Source organism: Homo sapiens, chromosome 11 (genome assembly GCF_000001405.40).
Source record: "Homo sapiens chromosome 11, GRCh38.p14 Primary Assembly".
NCBI lineage: Eukaryota > Metazoa > Chordata > Mammalia > Primates > Hominidae > Homo > Homo sapiens.
In genome coordinates, this window is record NC_000011.10 from 6,927,218 (window position 1) to 6,946,974 (window position 19,757).

Genomic DNA, 19,757 nt, shown 5'->3' on the forward strand with positions numbered 1-19,757 from the left:
TCCTGGCCACCTCCCTAAAAGATTAAAACCTCCAAGTATCGTACTTATTTTAAAATAATTCTTTCTCCATTTAACATAAATGACTTCTATTCAGTCACTTATTTGCAAACTGTTTTCTGTTCCTCTTTATCTAAGCTACTCTCGCCAGGTGGTTCTTACCTCAAGCAGCTGTCCTACCTACAACCTGTTTGATTAGAAATAACCCTCTTCACAGACAGTACCTTTTTTCCATAATTAGCAGCTGTTCGAGTTCCTTGCGGCCATAAAACCGTAGAACTGGTGCCACCTGGTTATATTAGTCTAACCATCCACTACAACTTCAGGTCCCTCCGTCACAGTGGTACTGGCTCCGTGTCTTAATCCTGAATCCCACCTTTATATCAGAGGCATCTATTCAGTACTTTAGAGTTTAACTGTTATATTTCCTGGCTTTGTATATTCCAGTGTTCATCATTTGCCACTTAAGCTACTTGCAGTCACGTCACACCTTGGATCTCTATCATCAAAACTATTCCACCTCGGAAATCTTACCTAAATGCAGCATGCCATCCTGAACGTCTCTCCCTGTCCTAGCTCTGTAACTGTTTACAGTGAGTAATTCATTAATTTGTGTTTTTCACCTACAAACCTCCCAGTATATTTGTTGCTTTTTTTTTATTTCCTGAGTTGGATATTTAATGCATCTCATTCTTGTTTAATTATATGTAAGGCTTTTCCATTGCCTATCAGGAGCTTCAGCTGTGCGCTTTAGATTTTGACGTACAATGTTTTTACTGTTTTTAGATACTTTGCAGTTGTCCTTTTGATTCTCTTTTATCTTTTTTTTTAGAAGCAAACATTTGAATTTTAAAGTAGGTGAAATTGTTTTTTCTATGTGGTGTTAATTTCTGGTTTTGCATTCTAGTAATAAATATGGTTTCCACTACTCTTGTTTACCATTTATCAAGGATTTTCTATTTGGTAGCCTAATAAATTGCTTTTGTAAACATTCCCTTAGGTGCTTGAATAGAAACTACATTTTATCTAGTTTTATTTATCTATTAGGCTAAGCATATTATTTATATCCACTATACTATTACTTTTTTGACTTTATCTGTCAGAGTCTGAGAAAGTTACCTAATATCCCATTTCTATTGTATCACTGTTGACTTCATTTCTTGTTTTCTGAGAATTTTGCCAAAAATGTTTCAAGTATGTTGTACATTTAATGAGTTATATTTCATTATGAGTTATAATCATTTAGTTTCCTCTAATGTATTTGTGCTTTTAATTCATTATAATTTTAATTCACTAAACTCTTGAATATTTTTTGTTTGCCTGGTATTTTTTAAAAATTCTTTTACATTTAGTTTTGGAGTTCTCGTTTCGGATGTCTTTTGAGTTTTATGTAGTTTGAGTTTAAATTTTTACCCGGTACATTTATTGTTGCAATTAACATCTCTGTTATTTTTACTTTTTAGTATAAAGCCTTTTCTGTTTTGTCTTTGACATATGGCCTGTGAGCTTTTATTTTTTCTTTCTCCATTTATGTTACTTTCAAAGTATCTGGGCCCATAGTTCATTTTTTTGTTGGACTAAATTATACTACTTCAGGACTATTCCACCAGTCATATTTAAGAGCTCTCTCTTGGCTGGTGGCTCAAAAGTGGAGCTAATGAGGCCAGATCAGGAGGGTCGTGGATGTCAACAGTTGTGGCGGGTTTTCAGTCTGTTGTATTGACGGTGGGCCTTGGCAGCTGCGAATGAGGAGAAAGATGGTCTTTTGTTATGAGTTTGGGGAGATGTCAAGGAGTACTCCAGAGGGATTCATTACAGGAAGCACTTGTTTCAGGGCAACTGGAAGCAATTTTCTATCCCGCGAGACCCAGGAATAGCCCATGAAAGGCACCATTACCCTTTTCCTCCCCTGGCCATGACAACCTAGATGGGATCTTTCAAGCCAGAAGGCACCTGCCTCTGTGGCTTTCCACTTGCTGTGGGAAATCCTCTGGGGAGCTTGCATTCACAGAGAAAAAAAGTTTCTAAATAAATTGGATAAAGTTACAGGAAAATAGAGAAGACAGTACAACAGAGTGTCCATATACCCCTCCACTAATTTTTCCTATTAGTAACATTTTGTATTAGTATAGAACATTTCTTACAATTAATAATACTACATTAACTAAAGTCCATGCTTTATTCAAGTTTAATTTTTACCTAATGTCTTTTTTACTGATGTAGAATCCATCCAGTATACCACATTACATTCTGTTGTCATGCCCCCTTAGGCTTCTCTTGGCTGTGACAGTTTCTCAGACATTCCTTGTTTCTGATCATGCTACAATTATGAGGAGGTATTGGTTAAGTATGGAGAACCATCTGTTGGAATTTGATGTTTTTCTCATTATTAGACTGGGGTTATGGGTTTAGAGCAGGAAGATCACAGAGGCAAAATGCCATTTTATCACATTGTCTCGAGGCTACATACTGCCAACATGACTTATCGCTATTAATGTTAATCTTGATCACCTGGCTGAGATGGTATTTGTCAGGTTTTTCCACTGTAAATTTACCTTCCCCCTCCCCCCACCCCACAGCATTTCCTCTTTGGCAGGAAATTCCTATGCAGAGCCCATACTCAAGGGGTGGGGAGTTATGCTGTACCTCGTGAATGGCTGAGAATTTGCATAAATTATTTGGAATTTTTCTGCATAGGAGATTTGTTTACTCTCCCCCATGTATTAATAAGTTGCCATTTATATCACTGCCTTATGAGTATTAATTTAATTGTTTGAATTATCTAATATTCTGTTGCTTATATTGTTCCAGATTTGGCCATAAGGAGCTCTTTCATTTGGCTCCTGTGTACCTTTGATGTGCCCCAATAAATGTTTCAGTTTCTTTTTTTTTTTTTTAATTTTTTGAGCATTTCTTTACTTTCTGGCAGTACAAGATGCCCCATGCTTATGTTGCATGAGCCTCAGTCCTAGAATCAACCATTTCTCCAAGAAATCCTGGTTCCTATTGGAGAATGGTATTAGAAACCAAGATCTGGGAGCTAATTATTCTTTTGCTGCTGGGCTGTTCTTGCTTCTAGACCTACTTAGCCAACACAGCAAGGAAATGTGTGTTTATACTAATTTATGTATATATACATATCTGTAAATATTTATGTAACCATCTTCATCTAATTCAGCCAAATACAAGTTCACACTTAGGTCTCCAACTCTAATCCATTATCACATGGATCATTCTAGTCTCCTTCCCTTGGTTTTCTGTAAATTTCTAGTCAAACATTGAGAAACCTGGCTCTTACCACTCATCTGCCATTAAACTGTCTTTTCATAGTTCTGTGTATCCTTCCCCTACTCTGTGCGCTGATACTTATTTGAATGTTGAATGATCTGTGCAGGCAGGCATTGCCATGGACAAGGTCACACAAACTTTTGGCCAATATGTAAGATCTAACATTGTAACATACATGTGTGCATATGATCTACTGAGAGCTTACTGTGTGTCAAGAAATGAGATGATAGCTCTTTTAATCCCTATAATTTGATCAGATATTTTTATATCCATTTTACAGTTGAGAATGCAAACTTGGGTTAATATAATTTGCTCAGCTTTATACATATAGTAACTAGTACATCTGGGATAGAAACTCATGTATCTATGACTCCAAAGTATGTAGTCTCATTTATATATTGCCTATAGCAGAGTTTTTAAACCTTGGAATTATTGACGATTTGGACTGGGTAATTCTTTGCTATAGGGGACTATCCTGTGTAGGATATTTAACAACATCCCTGGCTTTGACTTCCTAGAGGCCAGGTACAATCTCTAGCTGTAACAGTCAAAACTGTTTCTAAACATTGCCAGATTTCCCCTGTTGGTAAAATATCCTGACTGAGAACCACTGACCTTAGATAATCATAATAAAAGTGACACCTGAATAGTAAATTGCATCTGGACTTGGAGAACTGTAAATCAAATAGAAAGTTGTATCTGGACATCCCTGAATGTAGTGACTCCTATAATTTGGCAGGCTCTTTGAGACAACCCATAAAGTTGTGCTCAGTTGTTATGAGAGATACTGGCTCCTGGGGGAATTCTTTTGAGTCAGAGTGTTTCCTACACCACGTTTATGGGTCTCATCTCCCTGTACTTGAGCTAAATTCTGCAAAGACTCACACTGAAGAAAAGTGCATATTATTCTTCTGCTAGCAAGTTGTTTTTTGCCTTCTGAGTAAATTGGTGCCAAATATGACCTATGGTAGTCTTGCAAGTCTAAATGTTCAGTTGCGCCTAAGACATCCCTGGTGGGCATTGCGTAATTCTCCATAGTAACTCCTAACAAATATAAACTTTTCATTGTAGTCTGGGAATCCACTTTTTGATTTATTCCTAATAATAGTTTATGGATATTATTCTAGTATATTTTAAACAATTGTCTCTTACCTTAATTTCTAATGCTATTGTCAGTTTTACTCATAGAATTTTATTGGCATTTTAAAGAGAACTTTGGGTAAGGTTTTTCAGTCATATCTATTCTGAAACCTTAATATCCTACCTGAAGATTTGTGTTGCTTAATTTTAAGGTAAAAATGATTTGCTACCTGATATAGAATAAATCTAATTGTAATTCAATTACGAAGTTTTTTTAAATCAAAGGACTCTTCATCATTTGTTTTGGGATGTCTATTCGTGTGTGTTTCTTTGTCCTTTGGGAAACTGGTTAGGAGAAAGGGAAAGCATATTTTCTAGTTCTAAGAAAGGAAAATAAAAATAGGAGAATCCATAATATGCATTTTTCTTAGGCAATTTTAATAATATTTGTGTTTTAACACTATGCTAATAGATGTTTGTTCCCTGTGGGTTAATTTCTATCTTTTTTCAGTTGCTCAGGTACCTGAATATTGGCTTTGTGTCTAAAGTTTCTGGAACTTTCCTCCTTACCGTGAAATAACTTGGCTTAAATCACACTGCATATAGTACACAGGTGCTTAGCTCAAGCCTGAGAATTACTGCAATCTAGTAAGGCGGATTTGAACTACTGTGGGAGTTCTATTTAGGAAGATGCAGCCTCTGAGCAAGTTGATGGCTATCTCAAAACCTCGAAACCTGTCTCTACGTGAACAAAGAGAGGTTCTGAGAGCAGATATGTCTTGGCAGCAGGAAACCAACCCCGTCGTGGAGACACATGACTCTGAGGCATCTCGTCAAAAGTTCAGACATTTCCAGTATTTGAAAGTGTCTGGGCCCCATGAAGCCCTGAGCCAACTCTGGGAGCTCTGTCTTCAATGGCTGAGACCAGAGATTCATACAAAGAAGCAGATTATAGAACTGTTGGTGCTGGAACAATTCCTGGCAATCCTGCCTGAAGAAGTCAGGACTTGGGTGAATTTACAACATCCAAACAACAGTAAAGATATGGTGACCCTCATAGAAGATGTGATTGAAATGCTTGAAGATGAAGGTAAGAATATAAAGAAATTAGAGGTAAAATACTTGACCTTTCCCATGTAAAGAGAAATTATCTTTTTTTGAGGCCAGAGAGTATCAAGTGCCAGATCTTGAAGGACTTTATATTACTCTATTAGGAAGCCTTGACTTTATTCTGTAGGTAATAGAAATAGAGAATTAGATCTCACAGATTGGGTAGGGGAGTGAGACAGTTTGATTTGCCAGTTAAAAATATTATGTTGACATCAATTTAGAGCAGGAGTTGGCAAAATATGGCACACAGGCCAAATATTTTTTAAAATAAAGTATTATTGGAACATAGCTATGTCCATTTTCATTTTGTCTATGATTGCTTTTGTGCTATGACCAGAGTTGGTACTTGTAGCAGAGACTGTACTGTCTGCAAAGTCTAAAATATTTGTTATCTGCCCCTTTACAGAAAAAGTTTACCGACATCTCCTGTAAAGGAGAGAGATCTGAGGGTTCTGAAAATAGGAAAACCAGTTAGACTATTGTGATAGATTAGGTGTTAGAGAATGAGCTTTGGGAAAGCAGGAGTTTGAACCTAGAGGAATTATAAACGTATAAATAGGATACCTTTTGACATAAATTCACATGTACTGGCCTGCATGAGTGGAATTTGGGAGTGGGGGAGAAGGTGTAATACTTTAATTATGTGGCAAGTTTTATTTGAGGTCCCTGTGGGACTTTCACAATGAATAAACCAATATATAGTTAACAAGCTTCAGTGTTCAGAAAGAGAAGATTTGGAAGCTTATATGTATGAACACAGAAGTAGGAGAAATACAAATCCTTAGGGAGCATCAATATTGAAGAGCTGGTCTAGGCCAGGTGCGGTGGCTCACGCCTGTAATCCCAGCACTTTGGGAGGCCGAGGCGGGCAGATCACGAGGTCAGGAGATCGAGACCATCCTGGCTAACATGGTGAAACCCCGTCTCTACTAAAAATACAAAAAAAAAATTAGCCGGGCATGGTGGTGGGCGGGCACCTGTAGTCCCAGCTACTAGGGAGGCTGAGGCAGGAGAATGGCGTGAACCCAGGAGGCGGAGCTTGCAGTGAGCCGAGATGGCGCCACTGCACTCCAGCCTGGGCCACAGTGCTAGACTCCATCTCAAAAAAAAAAAAAAAAAAAGCTGGTCTAGCTATCAGTTACAGGAAATACAGAGGATAGTGGAACATGTTAAACTATACCGTGATAATACCATGTGTAAAATCCAAACTGGGAAACTATAAGACAGTCCAGTTTTTAAGGGAATAGGGAGGAGTATGGCAAAGTGATATAGAGATTAGTTATACATCTTTTAAGTTTTTAAAATCATGTGAATGTGTGGACCTTATAAGACATGAGGCCATGAACTGGATATCTGATGAGGAATTATCGATTGGGGACAGTGATTATATTGGTATTGTGGTTATATTTAGTCTTCGTCTAAAAATTTTCTTAATGAGCAAAAGAAGAGAAGCTTGATAAGCAGCCTGGAAAGTAATAATGTAGGAAATCAGAGAACCAGAAAAGATTGGTATCTGAGTTAAGAAAGGAGAAATTTTCAAGAAGTTAATGTTCAACAATGGTATAACAAAAAGGTCACATTAAGATGAATTTTAAAAATAATTCATTGAAATTGTTGATTAGGAGGAATTTTGAGGTTTAGTTTGAGCAGTTTTAGCAGATTTGAGGGGTGCTTATTTGTAGTGAGTTATATTAGTTTTCTATTGCTACTATAATAAATTACCACAAACTTGGTGGCTTAAAACAACATGAATATATTATTCTACAAGCCTGTACATCAGAGATCCAACACGGGTCTCCCTCAGCTAAAATCAAGGTAGTGGTGGTACCGTTTTCTTTCTGGGGCTTATGTTCCCCTTCCCCTGTCTTCAAAGCTAGCAACAATGGGCCAAGTCCTTTTCACACTGCCACATCTCTAATACTTTATTCTGTTGTCATAGCTCTTGCTCACTCATGGTGCTTCTCACTGTCTCACCACACTGGAAAAGGTTCCTCACTTTTCAGGATTCATGTAATTAGGTTGTGATCACCTGAATAATTCAGGATGATCTCCCTCATCTTAAGGTCCTTGACTTTAATCACATCTGCAGAGTCTCTCTTGCTATGTATCCAAGGACTAAGACATGGATATCTTTGTGGGCTGATATTCTGCCCATCATGTGGGTTAAAAAAAATAGGTATGAGGTGGGAATGTGATCATTATAGCCTATTCTTGAGAAATCTAGCAGAAAAGGCAAATGAGAGGTTGCAGGGTAATACAGAACTGAAGAAAGGCTTTTGGTTGTTTCTTTGGTTTGTCTGGTGGCTCTCTGAAAAACCTGCTCATAGGGCTTGCCTTTATTTTACCTAGTTCAAAAGTCACTCAGTACTGAGGTGGCTACCTGGGGGTATTTTTCAAAAACATTTCATGGAAAATGTATTAGCTACTGCTGTCTGAGATAATAAATAACAGTTGGGATGCTGGAGAATGATATGCTTTGAGGGAATAAGGGATTTTGAAAGCTCGCATGTATATCTGAAAATCTGGAAGATTGAAGACATGTTCAGAAAGACCTGAGAAAGCCCTAACTCTTATCTCTAGCTGACCTTCAAGTGCTACACAAGAAAGAAGTGAAGAATAACATAGAGTTAAAAGTGTCTGAGTGAGTGTGCCCTAATACACACAATGCATCTGCAGAGACCAGTTGATGGTTTTTGTTTTTGATATTGTTTTTATGTTTCAAGGCATTTAAGGAAATCTCTGTGGTATCACAAGCTGACCAGTAAGCTGAGGGAACAGATTCATGCAGGTAAACATAACATAGCATATAGAGTTTACAAAATTAGTTCAAAAGTTACTAAATGAGCAATAACTACAACAGTTAGAGCCTCAAAATATATGAAGCAAATACAGAAGTGAAAGAGAAATAGATCAAGAATAATAATTGGAGATTTCACTCCACTTTTATTAACAGAAATACTAGAAAAAAAGATTAAAAAGGAAATAGAAGACTTGAGAAACACCATAAACTGACTTGAACTAACAAATATACAGAGCGTTCTACCCAAAAAACAACAGAAGATACATTTTCAAGTATACATGGAATAGTCTCCAGGATAGACCAAATGTTAGACTAAAAAACATGTTTCAGTACATTTAAGTAGATTGACATCTCATGAAGTATCTTTTCCAACTATAGCAGAATTAGAAATCAGTAACAGAAGGAAATCTGGATAATTCACAGATAAGTGGAAATTAACAGTCACATAATCAGTGGGTCAAAAAGGAAAGCACAAAGGAAATGAAAAAATATTTTGAGAAATGGAAACAAAAATACAACATACCAAAACTTATGACATACAGTGAAGGCATGGCTCAAATTGTAGCTATAAATGCCTACATTAAAAAGATCTCAACCCTCCACCTGAAGGAACTAGAAAAAGAAAACCTAAAAGCCAGATGAAGAAAGAAAATAAATATTAGAACAAAGATAAATGATGTGGAGCCCACAAAAATAATAGAACCAACAAAACTGAAAGTTGGTACTTTGAAAAGATCAGCAAAACTGACAAAGGTTTAGCTACACTGATCAAGAAAAAAAGGACTCAAATTACTAACATCAGGAAAAGTGGGGACAATACTACTGACTTTGCATAAAATGAAAGGGCTCATAAGAGAATACTAGGAGCAATTAAATGCCAACAAATTAGATGCACTTAGATGAAATTCACAAATTCCAAAAACACAAATGACCAAAACTGACTGAAGAAGAAATAGAAAATCTGAACTCAACTCAGCAATAACAAAAGACTGGTTTAGTTATTTTTAAACTTTCAACAAAGAAAACTCAAAGATGATATGGCTTCACTGGTAAATTCTACTACACTTTTGAAAAATTAACACCAGTATTCTCAAACTCTTCCAAAAAATAGGAGGAACACTTCTTAAGTTATCCTGTGAGGCAAGTATTAATCTGATGCCAAAGCCAGACAAAGACATCACAACAAAAGAAAAATGGCAAACCAAATCCAATAGCGTTTTAAGAGGACTATACAAAATGACTTAGTGGGATTGATCCCAGAAATGCAAGTATGGTTCAACAAATGAAAATATATCAGTGCTGTACATCATATTAATACAGTGAAAGGGGAAAAATTACACGATTATCTCAATTGATGCAGAAAAAGCATCTGACAAAATCCAATGCCCTTTTATGACCAAAAAAAAAAAAAGGACTAGAAGTGAACTCACTCAGCCTGACAAAGGACATTTATGAAAAACCCACAGTTAACATTGTACTTGATAAACTTGATGAAAAAGTGAAAGCTTTGTTCTTAGAATCAGGAACAAGACAAGAATGTCCACTCTTGCCACTTCTATTCAATGTCATACTAAACGTTCTAGCTAGTGCAATTAGGCAAGAAAAAAAGAAAAGGTATCATGATTGGAAAGGAAGAAGTAAAACTATCTCTACTGGCAGATGTTATACTCTTATATATCCAAAATCCTAAAGAACCCAGTAAAAAACTATTAGACCTAATAAACTCAAAGTTGCAGGATGCAAAGTCAACAAAAATAGGTTATGTGCCTATAGCAATGAACAACCCTTAAAAGAAACCAAGAAAATAATTTCATTTATAATATGTCAAAAATAGAGGTGTAGGACTTGTCTGCTGAAAAGTACAAACCATTGTTGAAATTAAAGACCTAAGTAAATCCTGCGTTCATGTATTGGAAAACTTAATATCATAAAGATAACACTCCCCCAAAGCAATCTACAGATTCAAATGCAATCCCTATCAAAATCTCAGCTGCTTTTTTTTTTTTTTTTTTTTTTTTGTCAGAAATGGACAAGCTGATCCTAAAATTCATAAGGAATTGGAAAGGACCCAAGATAGTCAAACTGCCTTCATAAAGAAGATAGTTTTAGAATGTATACTTCTCAATTTCAAAACTCACTAAAAAGCTGCAATAATCAAAGCTATGTCGTACTGGAATAGAATTAAGAGTCCAGAAATAAACTCATACATCTATGTCCAGTTAATTTTTGACAAGGGTGTCAAGGCATTAAATGAGAAAATAATAGTTTTTCAACAAATATTGCTGGGACCCCTTGATTTCCATATGCAAAAGATTGGAGTAGGGGCCTTACCTCATATCATGTACAAAAATTAACTCAAGATGGGTCAATTGTCTAAATATAAGAGCCAAAATCATAAAATTCTGAGAAGAAAATATAGAAATAACTCTTCATCACCTTAAATTTGGTAATCAATGCTTAGCTATGACACCAAAGATACAAGCAACAAAAGAAAAAATAGATAAATTAGACCATCAAAATTAACACTTTTGTGCATCAAAAGATACCATCAAGGCAGCGAAAAACCTACAGAATGAGAAAAAACATTTTGAAAATCATATATCTGATAAGGGTCCAATATCAGGAAAATATAAAGAACTCTTACAATTCAATAACAAGATAAGGAACAGTTTTTTAAATGGACAAAGGACTTGAATAGATATTTCTCCAAAGAAGATATACAAATGGCCAAAAAGTATAGGAATAAATGTTCAGGATCATTAGTCATTAGAGAATTGCAACTCAAAACCATAACAACACCCACTAGGATGGCTATAATAATTACAAAAGGAAAACGAATAGGGTTAGCTAGGATGTGGAGAAATTGTTTGGAATTGTATATCGTTGTTGGGAATATAAACTGGTTCAGCCACTGTGAAAAACACTTTGGTGGTTCCTCAAAAAATTAAACATAGAATTACCATATACCCCAGAAAATTGAAGACACATATTCACATTAAAAAGTGGAAACAACCCAGATGTCCATCAACTAATGAATGAATAAACTTTGCTATATACATACAGTGGAGTATTATTCTGCCATAAAAAAGAATGAAGTACTGATACATGTTAAAAAAAAAATGGATGGACCTCCAAAACATGCTAAGTGAGAGAAGTCAGACCCAAAAGGTCACATACTATATGATTCAATTTATGTGGAATGTCCAGAATAGGCAAATTCGTAGAGACAGTATAAGGAAAGGGAGTGTGTATGAGAGTGACTCCTAAATTAATATGGGGCTCTTTCTTGGTAATGAAAATGTTCTGGAATTAGATAGTGGTGATCATTGTACAACATTATGAATGTATTAAAAACCACTGGATTGTATTCTTTAAAATAGCTAATATGGTGAATTTTATATTATGTGAATTTTGCCTTTTTTTAAACTTAAATTCTAAGCTTAATAGAGAATGAAGTGACTTCACTAGAGCCACGATAGAATGGGAGAAAATTAAAGAATCAATGTAGTGTAATGGGACTCTGATAAAAGTTGGAGAATATACAAAAAGCAAGGAAGTAAAAATTGAAAGGATAGGAAGATGCATTTAGCTATTGATTTATCCAATTTTATACTCATGGCAGGATAGTTCTAAGTAATAAAGACCAGAGTATGAGCAAGGAAGTAGATTGTTTGCTGATGGTCATTAGAGATAAGAAAGTCAAAGGTCTATCAGTCTGGGTTGCTGGAAGGGGTGTCTGTGTCAGTGTTGAAGCAACCTATTAAAAGACTGTCAGGATTTGGGGTGAAAAGCAACAATGTGAAGCAAGTAACTGAAGTTTTTATTGGCCTAGTACAATTACTTTAGTGTTGGTCATTCACAGTACATTAGGCTCTCTGAGGGCAGGTATTTGTGTATCTCGCACATAGGAGATAGTAAATATGTGTTGAAAAAATGAATGCGCAATAGCTTAATATATTACAGCATCAAGAACAGTATAGCTAAATGGCATAGACTAGTAAGAAATATTTTTGCATGAGAGAAAATACTAGGAAGTGGAAGGGAGGTACAAGTAGATCAGAACAATTTCCAAGATCGTAGTGCTTAGAGGATAGAAAAAGGTGCCTTTGATGATGCCAAGATCCATTTAGCAAGGGAGAAGGAAGAGTCTGTAAAGAACTTGAGAATGTATATAGATTTTTCTTTGAATGGAATGAGGGTTTCAGAAAACATGACGGTAAAACTTCAAGAAGGGGAGGTCAGCAGGGAAGAAGTAAGGGAAGAAAAGGACATTCAGAGAGAGCAATAAATAGGATAGCTGATTGGAGAGATTTGCACCTTTCCAAGATACCTCAGGTATTTCCAAGAATGTCAAGAACAAGGAACAACATTGTATTGATTGTCCTAAAGATTATGGAATTGAGCAGATTGACATTCCACAAAGTGTACAGACCTGAATAAAGTTAACAGATCTCAGGACCAGGCTCACACTTGTAATCCCAACTCTTTGGGAGGCTGAGGCAGGAGGATCACTTGAGGCCAAGAGTTCAACACCAGCCTGGGCAGCATTGAAAGACCCTGTCTCTAAAGAAAAAAAAAGAAAAAAAAAACATTATCCAAGTATGGTGGCACATGCCTGTAGTCCTTGCTATTCAAGAGGCTGAGGCAGGAGGATTGGTTGAGGCCAGGAGTTTGAGATTGTAGTGAGGTGTGACTGTGCCATACTGCACTCCAGCCTGGACTGAGCAAGACCCTCTTTAAAAAAAAAAAAAAAAAAGTTAACAGACCATAATATTTGCAGCATTCACACGGTATGTTGCTGAGAAATTTGGATTTTTGTTTGCTTTTATTCAGACAGGGTCTCATTCTGTCACCAGGGCTGGAGTGTGGTGGTGCGAACACCACTCACTGCAGCCTCTACCTCCTAGGCTCGGGAAATCCTCCTGCGTCAGCCTCCCAAGTAGATGAGACCACAGGCACACACCACCACACCTGGCTAATTTATTATGATTATTATTTGCAGAGAAGGAATCTCCCTATGTTGCTTAGGCTGGTCTTGGATGCTAGGCTCAAGCATTCCTCCCACCATGGCCTCCCAAAGTGTTGGGATTGCAGGTGTGAGCCACCAGGCCTGCCCTGATGTGTTTTAAGAAGTCCCTATGCAGTTGTTTAAATTGTTGAACCCAATTATACATTTATAATAGAGAATTAATGCTGATTATGATGTAACTGCATGGTTTTAAGATTTTTGGGGGGTTTCAAAGCTCATTAAAAGTTTTAAAAATGGGGGTGGAGATGATCCAGATTTGCCAACTCTTTTTAAGTAAAAACATTTTTTAAATCAATAATTAACATATTAGAAGACATTTTAACATCAAAAGAAAGTCCCTTATATTGAATAAATGTAATGTTTTAACAAACTTACTACATTGTTTCTACTCTTTATTTCACCGTGAATCAGTGAAAACTTCACAGACCAGTGTGACACTTGAGGATCACTGATGTAACTCATGAATCTTCCAGAGTGGCCCTTGGATAAATTTCTCACTGAATGGCTGGATAAGAGAATTGGTTGTCCCTCAGAATTTTATGTTTTGAAAGAAGCAATAGTTCAAGGTGGACAGGTTGCTTAGGTCTATGTATAGTAAGCACAGAGCAACTTACAGGAAAACAATCCTTGGATAGAATTCTCTCTGGAGTGTTTGAAGAAGGGATTGGTTGGATAAAATATTATAAGCTCCAAGTAGAATTACAGCCTGTGATGGCTACGCTGTAGTTAGGCTTTAGTTATGACAGAATTAGTTATTTTTTGGAATCTGCTATAAACATAGATGAGGTCTGAAAATATTATTTTGTCCCTCTTTCTGATTCAGTAGATCTCAGCCCATGGTAGCATATCAGAATCACATTTAAAATATTTTAAAAATACAAGATCTAGGCCTGACCTTTGAAGATTGTGATTGCTGGCAGGGCCTGACATTATTTTTTTCAAAGTTCTATGGATAATTCCTGTGAATATCATATTAAAACAACTATAATTATTAGAAGTTGCTCCAGGGCAAAACTTGTCTCCCTAATATTTTCCTTCATCTTCCTCAGATATGCCCTGCAAGGACTCTGCCCTGCAGATGGGGAGCATCAAGGAGAAAATGAAAGCTGGCTCACGAACAGGCAAACCACAGGTGAATTAGGATTCTAGTCTTTACTGAACACATATGCTCATTTTTAGTATTACCTGCTTTCAATTTTTTGATCTTTGAACTTGTGCCAAACATGGTTCCATCCAAGAACATGAGACTTTTATTTTCCCACAGGACACTGGACCTATTTTAGTTGGTGATACACTGTTAGCCATATAGTCTCTGTGTATCTGTTCCGTCAATAATATAGTTTCTATTTTATCTGTAGACACTATAGATGTAGAGCCTACTCAGAAAATGTTGAGAATTAAGCCTCAAGAGTAGAATCCAGAGCAATGTCGCTTACTAGGCAAGAGTAGAAGAAACCTCAAAGCATACTAAAAAGACAGGACCAAAAGATGTAGGGGAAAACCAGGAAAATGATGTCACTGAGACCAAGGGGTAAGAATATTTAAGGGAGAAATGCTTTAAAGGGTCAAAATAATACAGCCCAAGTAGTGTCTGTTCACTTAAGGAGATACTAAAATGCACTGGAATCTAAGCCAGACTGTGGTGTGTTGAGGAAAGAGGAAGTGAGGAAGCAGACAAAATTAATGCAGACAACTTATTCATAAAGACTGGCTTGAAGGAGAGGAAAGGAAGATGTTTATATATTTCAGTGTGATTGAAGGTGCCAATAAAGACAAGGTTGAGGATGCTGGAGAGAGAAGTGGAATAATTGATGGTGTGATACAGGAGGGAATTTATTAGCCAATATTTATGTAGTGCATAATATGCCAGATACTGTTCTGAGGGCTGAAAATATGATTGATAAACGAAATCCCAGCCTTGTGAAGATCACATTCTAGTAGACGTATACAGGCAAATACAAGCAAATAAGGTAATTGTAGATAGTAATAATAATTACACAGAAAATAATGCAGTAGTAACTGATTAGTAGGGAGGCTACTTTGGGCAGTCAGGCAATCTTGCCCATTTGATGAGTGACATTAAACTGTGAGTCCCAAATGATAAGAGTTATCAGGCAGCATTTCTTAATTAAAGAAAATGCCCTACCTCTCCTTCCAGCAGAGCCTACATTTTCATTACAAATCTCTCTTAGAACTACCACAAACTCTTGCTGTTTTGAACTCCTTTTAGGTAAATTATTTGTAAGGCATAGTAATTTTTTGTTCTACAGTTATTCCAGTTGTCTTTTTTCCCCCTCAACCATGTATTGTAAGCTACTTTAGAATAAGGACTGCACTTCACTTTTCTTTTGTATCCCTAACAGAGTATATATAGTACCAATTTGTTTGGCCCTTACTAAAATTTGATTTTCATCACTTAGAACCTCAAACATTGTCCTCAGACATTGTCCTATCAATTTCTGGTGTATTCTGGCTCCTACCCTATTCCTTCAAATCCATTCCTTCTCTGGTAGTGTTTTGGGGAGTGACACCTTTGATTAAAAAGGAACTTAATGTTTTAGGAACCAGTGACATTCAAAGATGTGGTTGTGGAATTCAGCAAGGAAGAGTGGGGGCAACTGGACTCTGCTGTAAAGAACCTGTACAGGAATGTGATGCTGGAAAACTTTAGGAACCTGAATTCATTGCGTAAAGGTGGTTTCTATATGTTTACCTAATCTGTCCATTTAGTAATCTCTTCCTACCGTTAAAAGCTATAGGACTGCTGAAGTGGCTAAGTTCACTTTTGGGTCTGGGTTGAGGTTTGCTAATATCCTTTGGACACAGTAGCAGATTTTCTGACTCATCTGGATGAAAGTCCTTTCTGATATTGAGCCAGAGATACACAAGTCTATGGTGCTCTTCTGGCCTTACCCTTCAGCAGCTTGGATTACTGTGTCGGGATAGAATTATCTTCTCTATAAAAATGTCTGAAGTGTCATATATGTTTGTTGTTGTTGTTCTTTTTATTTTCTCCATGAACAGCACATCTACTTTCCAAACCATTTGAGAGCCTTAAGTTGGAGAGTAAGAAAAAAAGATGGATAATGGAGAAAGAAATACCAAGGAAGACTATTTTTGGTAAGAACCAGGTAGATATGAGGCCATAGTAAGAAGCTTCTGTTTCCTAAACATACAGACAATGTGCAACCCAATCTTTGAATTGTTAGTTGGGAAGGAGATAGCAAAACCTAAACTTTGAGGGGGAAAAGACATTATTCGCTTTTGTTCACAGGTTCTTTTTCTTATGTGGTAAAACAGTCACATAAGGTTAGGGATAGGACCACAGACACTTAAAGCTGTGTGACCTGAGAGAGCCTTTCTGCCAGTTTCCTCATCTGTAACATAGAGTTAATAATAGTATCTACCTCCAGGTTACTGTGAGGACTAAATGAGTTGGTGTGCCTAGTACACTTAGAATAGTGCATGGTATGGCTGGGCGTGGTGGCTCACGCCTGTAATCCCAGCACTTTGGAAGGCGGAGGCGGGCGGATCACAAGGTCAGGAGATCGAGACCATCCTGGCTAACACCGTTAAACCCTGTCTCTACTAAAAAATACAAAAAATTAGCCGGGTGTGGTGGCGGGCGCCTGTAGTCCCAGCTACTAGGGAGGCTGAGGCAGGAGAATGGCGTGAACCCGGGAGGCGGAGCTTGCAGTGAGCCAAGATCGCACCACTGCACTCCAGCCTGGGCAACAGAGAACAGTGCATGGTACATGGTAAGTGCTACATCAATGAAAATTACCCCACCTAACTTTGAATGTTATTCTTTATTTTAAAGAAAAGAAGTCAACTTTATACTAGAGTGATTTCTAGTAATCTTCCATTTTTCCTTTTTTTTTTTTTTTTTAAACTGTATCACTTATTTTATTTTCTGGGAACGGAGTTCTCACTGTGTTGCCCAGGCTGGCCTCAAACTCCTGAGCTCAAGTGATCCTCCTGCCTCAGCTTCTACCTGGAGAACTTCTTAACTTTTGCCTTAACTCCCTATCTTCTTCATTTTTGTTTATTCCTCATTCTTGTTAATACTTTGTAAGAGAAAATAAAATTGTGATATTAATATAAGTTCTAGTAAGTGTAGAAAAATAAGGAATATAACTTGCTCATTACTTCAGTATCCAGAGCTATGTAGTATTAACATTTTTTAAGCCATTTTCTTTGTTTGTAATGTTTTATCTCTGTGGTTTCTGAATATTTCTTTTCTGAAATTGTGGAACAATTTTCAAAATTTTTCCAGAATTCATCAGGAATACGTCATTTTATATCCTCTTTTCACCTAACATACCATCGTGATTACCTATTTCACTAATTTTGAAAATGTGGTTTCTAATTCCCATAAAATATTCAATTATATCATAATACATTTAACCATTCCCCCTGCCCCTCCACTGTTGGACATTTAGATTGTTGCCAATTTTTCAGGCATGTCTGATAACTTCCATAGGATACCCTATTAGAAGAGGAACTTGACATTAAAGAGTATAAATATTTTTAGTTGTCTTACATTATGCTAAATTGTCTACAGAAAGGTTATACCAATTCATACTCTAATAATAGAGTATTATTATCTCTTTATCATCATCCTAGCAAACACTGGGTATTACTTACCCGAATTCTTTATTAATTTCATAGGCAAATTACTCTTTTCTTCCTTTCTAAGGTAAATACCCTCGGTCCCCGCTCCCATTGTGCTTTGGACCTCATTTGTCCCTACCTTTTCTCACTTGTATTTTCACCATTTCTGTCTCATTTTTCCATCAGCTTTTTAAACTTTTCTGGTCGTTACTGATTTTTAAAAGTTTTCATTCAACCCTACATCCTCCTCTAGCTATTACTCTTTTTCTCACCTCTTCTTTGTAGCCAAACTTCTCAAAGTACTTTATGCTTGTTTTTCTCATTTCCTCACCTCCTATTCCGTACCCTATTTCAATTTAGCTCTTACCCCAGACATTCACCTGAAACAGTTGTTGCTAAAGTTTTTAATGACTTCATGTAGCTAACTCCAATAGATATTTTTGAGACATTCCTTATCTCACTTGAATTCTCAGCAGCAAGTCACACTGTTAACTATGCCTTTTTCTTAAAACATTTTTAGGTTCTCGTAATACTTCTGATTTTCCTCTTTGGTTGGCTATTCTATCTCTGTCTTTTGCAGACTTAGCTTTCTCTAGCTATCTGATAAATTTCAGAGTTTGTCAATATTTAATCTTGTTTTGTCTTCTCTTCTTGCTCTTTTCTTCCCTAGTTTATTACATCCACAACTAAAACTTAAATTATTTCACATATATAGGATTTACAGATGTATATCCTTGGATCAGACTTTTTCTCTGGAGATTTATATATGCTATGACATTTCTCTGGGATATCTTAAAGATGCCTTAAATTCCATGAAACTGAAGTCTGATTTTTTTTCCCTTTCTACTCTTCTATTATTCCCTGAGTAAATGACACTGCCCTCTACCTAGTTACACAAGATACAGTTTAACTATTCTTGACACAACTTCTTCTCCTTCACTTCTCTAATATTTGTTCCTATTTTACTTCCCCATTATCTCTTGAATGTCTCCACTTTTGTCCAACTGCAGTGCTGCTTTGCTAGTCTAGGTACCATCATCTCTCACCTGAACCACCACATTGGCATACTTCTCAGCTCTATTATTATTGCCGCAACTCCAATCTTGGAACCATACTGCAACCAAGGAGATCAGATTTTGTGATCTGCATTTTTTAAATACTATATTGATTTCAGTATTGTTTATTTCACAACATTCTATTCTCTGCCTACTTCTCCAATCTCACCTTGCACCACATCCTCCCCTCACTCTTTGTACTCAAGCCACACCTATCTACTTTCAGAAAATCAACATCAAATATATATTAAGCATCTATATACTGTGTCCTAAGCACTCTCACAGGTGTTGGTGTGCAGCAGAGAAAAGATGATTCTAAGGGAACGCATTCTGGTTGTCCCTGGAATGTGGCTTGTGTTCTCCCATCCCAGCTTTTGACATAGGACACTCTTCCCCCCGTTCTTTACCTAATTGACCCTTATTCCTCAGATCTCAAATAAGTGCACATTTCCTTAAGGAAGTCTTTCCTAACTTGGTTTTTTTCAGTTGTACGCTTGTGCAGCACCTTACTCTTCCTTTTAGCAGTTATCACAATTATATTTTACATGTGTCTCTGTGAATATTTGTCTCCCACATTAGGCTGTATGTTCTTTGAGGGTAGGCATAATGTTTCTTTTTACCCTACCTGTACATCTCCAGCCCGTGGTGCATATAGGAATAAGAGAAAAAAAGACGGATGGATAGATATTAGATAAGAAAGGTAAAAATTATTTTTTGGGTTGTCATTTAGTAAAGGGCTGTTTATGTGGTTTATTGATTAAAACTGTAGGGGTTTTTAATGTAT

The 19,757-nt window shown here is 36.7% G+C and overlaps 1 protein-coding gene and 1 long non-coding RNA gene across 22 annotated transcripts in view; one reads left to right on the forward strand and one right to left on the reverse strand.

Annotated features, from left to right (window-relative positions):
- The window catches only part of LOC107984019 (uncharacterized), a 49,559-nt gene that overhangs the window by 29,305 nt on the left and 497 nt on the right, over positions 1-19,757 (reverse strand). Inside the window, exon 1 of one of the 3 annotated variants that reach the window (XR_007062575.1) lies at positions 12,708-12,798. The exons of the other annotated variants lie outside the window; for them this stretch is intronic. This is a non-coding gene — a long non-coding RNA (uncharacterized LOC107984019). Of the gene's footprint in view, positions 1-12,707; positions 12,799-19,757 lie in introns of those variants that run through there. 3 annotated transcript variants of the gene reach the window in all.
- The window catches only part of ZNF215 (zinc finger protein 215), a 67,998-nt gene that overhangs the window by 792 nt on the left and 47,449 nt on the right, over positions 1-19,757 (forward strand). For 9 of the 19 annotated variants that reach the window (XR_002957191.2, XM_047427572.1, XM_047427571.1 and 6 more), the window contains 5 exons: positions 445-590; positions 4,877-5,455; positions 14,354-14,436; positions 15,866-15,998; positions 16,329-16,424. Coding sequence is in view for 14 of the 19 variants with exons in the window: in XM_047427572.1 (XP_047283528.1) it covers positions 5,056-5,455; positions 14,354-14,436; positions 15,866-15,998; positions 16,329-16,424 (712 nt within the window). In the remaining 5 variants the exon portion in view is untranslated. Of the gene's footprint in view, positions 1-444; positions 5,456-14,353; positions 14,437-15,865; positions 15,999-16,328; positions 16,425-19,757 lie in introns of those variants that run through there. The other 10 variants (NR_149005.2, NM_001354856.2, NM_001354857.2 and 7 more) reach the window with 3 other exon arrangements.